The sequence below is a fragment of the Homo sapiens genome, chromosome 16 (genome assembly GCF_000001405.40).
Source record: "Homo sapiens chromosome 16, GRCh38.p14 Primary Assembly".
NCBI classification, from domain to species: Eukaryota; Metazoa; Chordata; class Mammalia; order Primates; family Hominidae; genus Homo; species Homo sapiens.
The window spans coordinates 8,101,974-8,113,633 of NC_000016.10; the positions used below are offsets into that span (position 1 = coordinate 8,101,974).

At 41.9% G+C, this 11,660-nt stretch overlaps 1 long non-coding RNA gene across 1 annotated transcript in view; it reads right to left on the bottom strand.

Annotated features, from left to right (window-relative positions):
• The window catches only part of LOC105371069 (uncharacterized), a 236,274-nt gene extending 225,491 nt beyond the window's left edge, over positions 1-10,783 (bottom strand). Inside the window, exon 1 of the long non-coding RNA NR_197430.1 lies at positions 10,450-10,783. This is a non-coding gene — a long non-coding RNA (uncharacterized LOC105371069). The remainder of the gene's footprint in view (positions 1-10,449) is intronic.
• Between the last annotated feature and the right edge of the window lie 877 nt (positions 10,784-11,660).

An 11,660-nucleotide genomic window follows, 5' to 3' on the forward strand; every position in this document is an offset into this window, starting at 1 on the left:
ATTAGCTAGAGAAAAAAAGCTGATTGATAAACCCATAGATGACCCAAATGTTAGAATTAGCATAAAGCACTTTAAGATAACTACTGTCAATATGTTAAAGCATCCAGTGGAAAAAGTGAACAATATGCATAAATAGAAGGGGAATTAAAACGAAACATTAAAACATTACAAAAGAAACAACTGGAAATGTTAGAACTGAAAAATATAATAGCTCTAAGAAAGAATCCAAACTCAAATGCCCATCAATGATAGACTGGATAAATAAAATGTGGCACATATACACCACAGAATACTATGCAGCCATTAAAAAGAATGAGTTCATGTCCTTTGCAGGGACATGGATGAACCTGGAAACCATCAACCTCAGCAAACTAACACAGGAATGGAAAACCAGACACCACATGTTTTCACTCATAAGTGGGAGTTGAACAATGAGAACACATAGTCACAGGGACGGGCCCATCACACACTGGGGTCTGTCAGGGGGTGGGGGGCAAAGGGAGGGGGAGCATTAGGATAATACCTAATGCATGCGGGGCTTAAAACCTAGATGATGGGTTGATAGGTGCAGCAAATCACCATGGCACACGTGTACCTATGTAACAAACCTGCACGTTCTGCATATGTATTCCAGAACTTAAAGTAAATTTAAAAAAAATCCATCAAATGAGCTTAACTGTAGCCTGAACGTAGCATAAAAATATAATAAAAAGTGAAAGGCAACAAAATTATCTATACTGATTCATCAAGAAAAAAAAAGGAGCATCACAGTCCTGCAGGACAAAAATCAAACAGTATACTATATGTTTAATTTGGGCAGGTGTGGTGGCTCACGCCTGTAATTCCAGCACTTTGGGAGGCCTAGGCAGGCAGATCATTTGAGGTCAGGAGTTCGAGACCAACCTGAAGTGGTGGTGTGTGCCTGTAGTCTCAGCTACTTGAGAGACTGAGGCAAGAGAATCGCTTGAACCCAAAAGGTGGAGGTTGCAGTGAGCCAAGATTGTGCCACTCCACTCCAGCCTGGGAGACACAGTGCGACTCTGTCTCGAAAAACAAAATTTTATATATATATATGTATTTGGAGTCCCCGTAGAAAATGAAAGAAAAACAGTACAGAAGAAATATTGGAAGATAAAAGAGGAGAATTATCCAATTTAAAATGCAGTATCGATCCACAAAACCCAGAAGCTTAATAAACATTAAGCAAGATAAATACAAAGCAAATTACACCTAGATACATTGTCATTCGATTCCAGAACACAAAAGACGTAGTGAAAAATCTTAAAAGTATCCAGAAAAAAAAAATACATCTTACAGCAAGAGAACAACAATGAGAGTTGGCTTATAGATACTTAATCAGAGACAAGGCAAGTCAAAAGACATTCAAATAACATCTTTGAAGTTGTAGAATTTAATTAATTAATTAACACATCTATCAACCTCAAATTTTCTACACTGTGAAAATGTCTTTAAAAATGAAAGAAAATTGAGAATATCTTCCATTAATAAGAGCTAAGAAATTTTGGCTTCAGCAGATCCATAGCAGAAGAAATGGTGATGGCTGAATGGTGGAGGCTTATATATATCTACAGGTAGGAATGCAAAAAAGTAAATATGTTGATAAATATAAACAATGATTTATTTTTATTCTTACATTTTTATCTTTTAATGCTCAAGTGAATTTTTACTTTAAATTATTGAATTAACAAATAGCTATTGACTACCTAAAGGAAGCATGATTCTAAGGTCTTGTGGGTTGACAACCCATTTAGAAAAAGCAGGTATGAAAACAATCATGCAAGAACAAGGCACAGATGGAGTAGTATTGCTACAGTAGGTAGCTGGTCAGGTAGGAGCACTGCAGGAGAGGGCTCCCTCCTACACATACCAGGACTGTCAGGCCACCATCAGGTGATGGTCAGGCGGTTGCTACAGTGTCTCTCTAAAGTAATAATTGGTCACAGCTGGCGTCAGGAGAAGGTGTGCTCCTAATTGATAGAAAATATCTGAAACTGGTGATCAGCAGCTTCCTGATAAGATCTCAGGAGTGGGAAGAAGTAACGCAAGTAACACATCCTTCCGGGTAACATCCTGGAAGTATGCCAATGTAGAAAACCCCAAGGCAAGAGGTCAAGCCGTGCACTTGGTCGCTCAAGTGGCCTGCCTGGCCCTCTTTCAAGTGTACTTTCCTTCCTTTCATTCCTGCTCTAAAGCTTTTAAATAAACTTTCACTCCTGCTCTAAAACTTGCCTTGGGTCTCTCCTTCTGCCTTTTGACCATCAGTCGAATTCTTTCTTCCGAGGAGACAAGAATTGAATTGAAGTTGCTGCAGACCCTTGTGGATAACTACTACCACTGCTAACAGCATGACTGGAAAGTCCTTTCAGTGTTGGTGTAGTGGCATTATAGCATTTAAAGGTAGACGGTATTTTTTACTAGAGACAAGGTTTCACTATTAGCCAGTTGTGGAGGCGGGCATCTGTAGTCCCAGCTACTCAGGAGGCTGAGGCAGGAGAATTGCTTGAACCCGGGAGGTGGAGGCTGCAGTGAGCCGAGACTGCGCCACTGCACTCCAGCCTGGGCAACAAAGCAAGACTCCAACTCAATAAATAAATAAATAAATAAATAAAGATAGACAGTAACGTTAAAGATGCACATTATAAACCTGATGACATCACTAAACTGAACAGAGCATTATTGCCTTTAAGGCCTTCCACGGATTTAATGAGTTCCACCTAAGTTACGAAGGATAATCTGCCTTACTTAAAAATTACACAGTCTCTGTATGACTCTCCCTAGATTCCATCCCTCAATCTTCCTTGAGTGCTGTAGGTGGGCAACATTGTTGTATGGGGAAGTGTTGAAAGTTGGTAGCATGGGACTTGAAAATTTATTTAGATTTAGAGTTTAGAACTTCTGTATTAAAGCCTTTCATTCTGAAAAAGGCTTAGACCAGGGTGTTTATTGATTCCCATGTTGGGGTGGTATATGCTATTTCTCCAGGACCAACTCCTGATCCCACTAAAAAAATTTACATTTCCTTCAGCATCTTCTCGTTCCAGTTACAAGGAGAGGCTTGTTCTGTAGCTATGGAAAAGTTTGACGTATGAACGGTGGCCAGATCACTGTGCAAATGCATATATGCCTATGCACATATATGTATATGTATGTGTAGGCATGCATGTATGTATTGTCAAAGAACGTATTCAATATTTCATAAGTTCTCAAAATATTTTCTGCTTTTTCCCCATCCCCCACAAAGGAATCGTTGAGAGGAGGCAAACTTTCTGGTTTCAAACCAAAGACTTTCCTAATATCTTACATGAACTGTATTTGTAGTTCATATCCCACACACACACACACACACACACAGACACACACACAGACACATATACAGACAGCCAGATAGAGGGGGCACCATTCTGGCAGTGAAGAGACTAATAAGTTGCCAATATAGCAGTGTCTGTATCCCTACAAGTTGACCTCAAGAAAAATCACTTCTCATATCTTTGATTTCAGCATCTGTAAAGTGAGCTGGCTGGCCTGGCTCATCTCTGAGGCTGTGTTAACTGTGGATAATCCTAAGAATCTAAGAGATTCACTTTACTTGGGTTCCTGTCCTGCCTTCTCCACCCCAGCTCAAACTCTGCGGTTTTGACTGACCAGCAGAGGCTCAGAATACACAATTCTGAGGCCAGGCGCAGGGGCTCACGCTTGTGATCCCAGCACTTTAGGAGGCTGAGGCAGGTGGATCACATGAGGCCAGGAGTTTGAGACCAGCCTGGCCAACATGCTGAAACCCCATCTCTACTAAAAATACAAAAATTAGCCAAATGTGGTGGCACGCACCTGTAATCCCAACTACTTGGGAGGCTAAGGCAGGAGAATTGCTTGAACCCAGAAGGCAGAAGTTGCAGCGAGCAGAGATTGTGCCACTGCACTCCAGTCTAGGTGACAGAGCCAGAACCTGTCTCAAAAAACAACAAATAAATTAATTAATTAATTAAATTAAATAGAATACACAATCTTGAGCTTGGAACAGGGAAGTGAAAAAGCACAGCCATTCTCTTCCTTGGGTTAGAGGCTAGGGTCCCTTGTGCTAACGATGAGTCTTCGCTCTTTAAACTGCCTTAATTACTCTCTACTATTAGCCATATATCTGTTTCTTCTCACTGATCCATCAACTCTGTTTCCTAGATTGCTCTGTTTACCTAGTCTTCCTTCTTCCCAGTCTCAATTCTTTCTCAGTCCTAGAGCTTGTGATGTCTCCTCTTTCCATCATTACATGATACTGCATAGAACAGTCACCAGGACATAAAGTTAAGTGCTCAGTGAAAGTCAGCTATTGTTAGTGTTAGTTACTACTGCAAGCACTCTCCTCCAATCACTTCTCCAACTTGTAAAAGTTAAATGAGAATCTGAATGTTTAGTTTGTGTGGATTATGAAAACCGACTCATCAACTCGAAGAACCCTGGTGATAGCACGATAGCACCTAGCACAGTGGTTAAGGGTGAAGGGTTCTAGGACCAGACTAGCTGGGTTGATGTCAGGAGTTTATGACTTATTGACTAAGTGATCTTAGAAAAGGTACTTATCTTCTCTGCACCTCAGTTTCCTCGCCTATAAAATACAGGTGATAGGTTGGGCACAATGGTTCATGCCTGTAATCCCAGCACTTTGGGAAGCTGAGGCAGGTGGATCACTTGAGGCCAGGAGTTCAAGACCAGCCTCGCCAACATGGGGGGACCCCGTCTCTACTAAAAATACAAAAATATTAGGTGGGCATGGTGACTCATGCCTGTAATTCCAGCTACTCAGGAGGCTGAGCAGGAGAATCACTTCAACCCAGGAGGTGAAGGTTGCAGTGAGCCAAGATTGCACCAGTGCACTCCAGCCTGTCCAACAGTACAAGATGTTGTCTTAAAAAAATAAAATAAGATAAAATACAGGTGATGATTATTATATCATGTTACCTATCTTCTAGTATGGTGTTAAATTAAAATGAGTTGTTTCACATCAAAGGGTTGGATCACTGGCTGACATATAAACTAAGTTTCAATAAATTGTAACTGCTATCCATCTATTATGAGATACTTTTACCTTCTCAGATTTGTAAAGATTTTATCTCTTGGGTTTCTCATCCATTAGACTCCCTTGCCACCATAAAACGGAAAGGCAGAAATAATCTAAATTTGTCTGACAGAATAAACTTATTAAAGTACAAATATGGGCCAGAAAGTCATGAGACTTTAAAGGGAAAAGAAAACTCTCAGTAGTGTTTGTTAAAGTGAGTTCCATGGGCCCCTTAGAGGAGAATCACCAGGGTTACTTGTGAAAACACAGGGTCTCTGAGACCTGCTCCAAATCTTCTGAATTACCTTCTCTGGATGGGACGCTAGAATCTGCACGCACCATTAGGCCGGTTGATTCTGAGACACTCTGAGAAAACTAAAATCAGAGTTGTACCTATAGTAACGACAACAGGAGGAGGCCAACGGCAGGAGGAAGCCACAGAATGATTTGACAGAGGAAGAACTCACAGAACTTGGCAAAGACCGGCTTGTAGGAGTGAGAAAGAGGAAGGTCAGCTTTGCAGTCCCTGCTATGTGGCATTTAAGTAAGGCTCCTGCTGCTCGAGTGGTAATGATGGCTCTCACGTATTCATTCCTCACTGTGTGCAAACTACGTGCTTGCTATTACCTCACTGAATCCTCACGATACCTTCCTGAGGTTTTTAATGTTTTAATAGAAATGATGAGTTGGAGCCAGTGTGCATCAGCTCATTGGAGTTGACCTTGCACAGTGCCTCCTACCTTTGCATTCACCCATGTTACACTGGTAACTTAAAGTCAACCATGATGGTTGGGCACGGTGACTCACGCGTGTAATCCCAGCACTTTGGGAGGCTGAAAAAGGTGGACCACCTGAGGTCAGAAGTTCAAGACCAGCCTGGCCAACATGGTGAAACCCCACCTCTACTAAAAATACAAAAATTTGTGGGGCGTGGTGGCAGGCGCCTGTAATCCAAGCCCCTCGAGAGGCTGAGGCAGGAGAATCGCTTGAACCCAGGAGGCGGAGGTTGCAGTGAGCTGAGATCATGACACTGCAGTCAAGCCTGAGCAACACAGTGAGATTCCATCTCAAAAAAACAAAGTCAGCCATGGTGGGAATATTTACACCACTAAAATTGGCAAATATTACAAACTAGGTCCTTTTTTTTCTTTTTTTGAAATCCATGTATTAAACCTTAGCAGGACACCACTAAACGTAAGTTCCATGAAGACAGTGACACCATTTGTGGGGTTTTTTGTTCTTTTTTTTTTTAACCCTCGCAACTGGGGTTTAAAAACTCCTGGGCTCGGCCGGGCGCGCCAGCTCACGCCTGTAATCCCAGCACTTTGGGAGGCCAAGGCAGGAAGATCACAAGGTCAGGAGATGGAGACCAAGGTGAAACCCCGTCTCTACTAAAAATACAAAAAAAATTAGCCGGGCGCAGTGGCAGGCTCTTGTAGTCCTAGCCACTCGGGAGGCTGAGGCAGGAGAATGGCGTGAACCCGGGAGGAGGAGCTTGCAGTGAGCCGAGATCGCGCCACTGCACTCCAGCCTGGGCGACAGAGCGAGACTCCGTCTCAAAAAAAAAAACAAAAAAACAAAAAAACAAAACAAAAAAAAAACCTCCTGTGCTAAAACAATTCTCCACAGTGACTTGCACAAAACAGATGTTTCATAAATGTTAAATTCATTAATTAGGTTAGCTTAATATCCTCATTTTTAACTCAGAAAACTGAGGCTCAGAGGTGTTGTCACTTGAAGTGTTACCAGTGGAGGGTGTCTAGGTTCTTGGCATTTTGAACAAAGAATTGGACAAAAACACACAAAGCAAGGAAAGAATGAAGCAATAAAAGCAGAGATGTATTGAAAACGAAAGTATACTCCACAGGGTCGCAGCAGGCCCAAGCATAGGGGCTCAAGGGCCCAGATACAGAATCTTCTCTGGTCCAAACCCGCTAGAGGTTTCCCATTGGCCGCTTGGAGCTCAGCTCATGTAAATTAAGAGAGGGCCAGCCACCAGTCTGATTGGTTGTGAAAAGCAACCAACCAGAGGCTGAAGCGAAAGTACCTCTGCTTGGTTGCAAAAATCAACCAATCAGAGGTACTTTCAATTTGCCATCTACCTCGCAGAAAAGGAAGTCGGCGTGACACCGCCTTAGGTTTCCTGCCTCCAGACCCTATTCTCCGGCCTCGGAAGGTTACCCAGCTAATACCTAAATTCTACACTGCCACAAACACAGAAAGGAGGCCCAGGGAGGGAAATGCCCTCAGACATTTCAAGCATCCCTCTGAAACGGCTACGTTGTCTGGGGTATATACCCTGGGGTTCGTTGTCCGGCACCAAGAAAGAATTCATGACACGGACACATGTGGGTGGGTTAAGGAGTGGAACGTTTAATAGACAGAAGAAAGGAGAGAGGAGAGCAGCTCTGAGAGAGAGCGAAGAGAGAGGAGAGAGGTCTAAAAAAGGAGGGAGGCTTTGGACCACAGCCGATTTTACAGGCAGGCTAGAGACGACAGTGTCTGATTTGCATACCGTTCACAGATTGGTTCGAACAGGTATGACGTTTACATAGCGTGTGAGGAAGGCTGTTCGCCTCACCCTAATCTTATTATGCAAAAGAGCTTTCCAGATGATCGGTGCCATCTTCTCTGCTCTTTATTGTACACGTGGCTGACAAAGAGAAGGGAAGATGGTGCCACCATCTTGAACATGTCTAGTTGCTAGTACCTGCCGGCATTCACTCGTGCAAACTCCCCCAACTTGCTTGTCTATGTCTCCAGCTCAACTTTACAGGCTGCTCTTTGTGAGAAAATGATTTGAAGATGCTTTTCATTAAACAGAAAAGCCTTACCGAGGACTCCCACACCCTTACTGTTTAAGTGATTTCCTCTTAACTCATATATCACCTCAGAAAGGACTCTATGGGAGAATCACCACGATCAAGACCCAGGACAGCTCGGGGAACTACAGGTCTCAAGAGAGCCAGCTTGTTTTACAATGACACGTGCCCCTCCATGACATGTGTTTGACAAAAATAAATTCTCTCTGGGCCTACAACTACTTAATTAGGCTATACTCAAATATCTCCAGACTTCAAAACGACAATGGAAGCAGATTAAAGCCAATCCCAGCCAACAGGAAGGGGTAGGGTTGCTGCTAGCAGTATTTCCTCTTTGCTCAGTAACCGACCTCTGGCCCTACATCTGTATTATTCGTCCAGGAGGATGGTCATGTTTAAAGGATTCCTTCTGATAAGGAAGGAATCTGATAAGGGGTTTCTATTCAGACCCTCCTAAACTACAAAAAGAAAAAAAAAATCATAATTTTGCATCAAGTTGGGTTCTATATTTTATTTTTACTGAGGTTTTGGGGTGGAGACAAAGCAGGCTTGGAAAATTGGATTTGATAAAAGAAGCAGGTACCTAATTGGTTTGATGACTTTTTGATGGGGGGAGTCAATTATACAGTATTGTTAATTAATCGGTCTTATTTTTGAGACACACCAACCAACTTGCAGGGAACGGACCAAGTATTTATTAAGCACTACTGTGTACCAGGCATAGTGCAATGTGGCCTATATGTTACCTCTTATTCACATGAAAATGATGTAAAGTTTGATGTTATTAACTCCTATTTTATGGTGAGGAAACTGCACACTGGAGGAGTTTCATGCCTTGCCCAAGGTCATATGGCTAGTGAGTGACAGAACTGAAGAAGCAGCCAGGAGCAGTGGCTCAGGCCTGTAATCCCAGCACTTTAGGAGCCTGAGGCAGAGGATTGCTTGAACACAGGAATTTAAGACCAGCCTGGGGAACATAGTGAGACTCCATCTCTACAGAAAATAAAAACTTAGCTGGGTATGGTGGTGCACGCACGTGGTCCACGCTACTCAGAAGGTTGAGGTGGGATGATCTCTTGAGCCCAGAAGACTGAGGCTGCAGGGAGCTATGATTGTACCACTGCACTGCAGCCTGGATGACAAAGCAAGAACCCTGTCTCACATTCAAAACTGTCCTGGACTGCATGCGGCCCACAGGCTGCAGGTTGAACAAGCTTGGTCAGAATCTGGGCCAGGACTTCCCATCAACAGATTTTCCCTGAACAGAATCTGAAGGAAGCAATGCTGGACTTTGGTCTATGCAGTGGCTCTCAACTGAAAGGAGAGGCAGTGGTGGTGTGATTTTTGTCCCTACCCCACTCCCAGGAGATACTTGACAATGTCTGGAAATGCTTTCTGTTATTGTCAGAGGCCTTTGAACCACAGCAACTGCATTTTGAGTGAGGGCTGGAAAATGAGGTAGTGACTTGCTGGGCTGCTTTCCCAGAAAGTTAGGCATTCTGAGCCTCTAAATGTGTACGTTTAAGGGAACAAATAAATGAGGTTTACTAAGCAGACCCAGACTTGGGAGTGTCCAGATATCCCAGTATCTGGAGAAAAAAACATTCCTAATTTTGCTTTAAAGATAATATCGATTCTTGCAAAATATAGTAATTAAGAAAAGTAAATAAGAAAATATAAATATAATATATATAGTAATTAAGAAAATATAAATAAATATACATATGTGTGTATATAGAGATACATATATGCGTATATAAGTATATATACACATATATAAGTATATATGTAAGTATATATATACACACGTATATAAGTATATATGTGTATATATACACACACATATATAAGTATATATATGTACTTATATATAAGTATATATATATATACTTATATATAAGTATATATATATACTTATATATAAGTATATATATATATACTTATATATACTTATATGTATATATAAGTATATATATGTGTGTGTATATATATATATATATAGTGTTCTCTATCAACTCACTGGCATTAAAATTTCTGACTTTGAGCTTCTTCACTTTTGTTAAGAATTAAAACAAAGCAGTCTTTAAAAAGGAAAATTAAAACAAAACTTTAATGTTTTTATTACCAAAGTAATATGTGTTCATTGCTAAAAATTTAGGAAATAGAAGCAAAGAGAGGCAAATAAAATTCTATGGCCAACCCTTCACCAAGAAATAACTGTTTATCATATTTTGGAAAACAAACTTCAAGTGTTTTTTTTTTTTAAATAAATACTTAGGTAAATGAAATTATTCAAAGAGGCCCTGCAATAATCAGGAAGGCATGCAAATTGCAGCAAATATAATAAACATAATAAATAACAGTAGCAACAGTAGCAGAACTGCAAGCTAACATTTCTGTAGTACAGCTTCTATGCCAGATGCTCTTTTAAGCCATTTACATTTAGGAATTAATCCTCTCAACAACTCTACGAGGTGGGTGTTATTATAGTTCCCATTTTCAAGATGAGAACACTGGTACAAGATAGACCATATTGGAAAGGACCAAGCTTACCTGTAGCTTCTCAGGAATGCACCTGATGTCTGCAAGATGAGGCAAGCATTCCTTCCGCTTTCTTCCAGTCACCTTTTGAAACCACCATGGCAAGATTATAACTGAGAAAATTATAATAGTTAAAGAGATTTGCCCTGGCCGAGCGCGGTGACTCACACCTGTAATCCCAGCACTTTGGGAGGCCGAGGAGGGCGGATCATGAGGTCAGGAGATCAAGACCATCCTGGCTAACACGGTGAAACCCCATCTCTATTAAAAGCACAAAAAATTAGCCGGGCGTGATGGCGGGCGCCTGTAGACCCAGCTACTCAGGAGGCTGAGGCAGGAAAATGGCGCGAACCTGGGAGGCGGGGCTTGCAGTGAGCCAGAGTTCGCGCCGCTGCACTCCAGCCTGGATGACAGAGCGAAACTATGTCTCAAAAAAAAAAAAAAATCTGCCCTAACCAACTCCATCTTGCTTCTAGATTTCTAGATTAGAGTCTAACCTGTCCTTGTTCATTCTTGGGTGTAGGCCAAACTAACTTTGAGAGGAACTTACTCATAGTTTAACTTTGAAACAAAGAGGACAACAGCCCTTTTCCAAAACAAAACCCCCTTCCTGCCTGAGGACTAGACTTCCTTTGTAGGGCTAACAAATTAGCCACAAGATTACAAATTCTGGTTTAGGAGTCATGTAGCTGGAGGCTACAAGGTTCTGACCCTCCCCAAATTGCTCCCGGGGAGAGCAACACTGTTGTAAAACCTAAGATCCGTGCTTGAGATATTTTGCAGACTTTGCACTTGATGGATCAGCTGGTACCACCTAGATGGATAAACTGGCTCATCTGGTCTTATGGCCCCCAAACCAGGAACTGACTGAGCAGAAGAAGACAGCTTCGACTCCCTGTGATTTCATCTCCTGCCCAACCAATCAGCACTCCCAACTCACTGGCTGTCCCCCATCCACAAAATTATCCTTAAAGACTCCTATCCCAGAATGCTCAGGGAGACTGATTTGAGTCACAATAAAACCCAGATCTACCAAACAGCCAGCTCTGCATAAATTAAACTCTTTCCCTATGGCAATTCCCCTGTTTTGATAAATTAGCTGTGTCTAGGCAGCGGGCAAGGTGAACCCCTTGGGTGGTTACACTTTTTGTATAACTTCTCACTTCCTGATACTAAAAGCTGTATTACTTTACCTGGCTGCTGTAATAAATTGACCATGCACC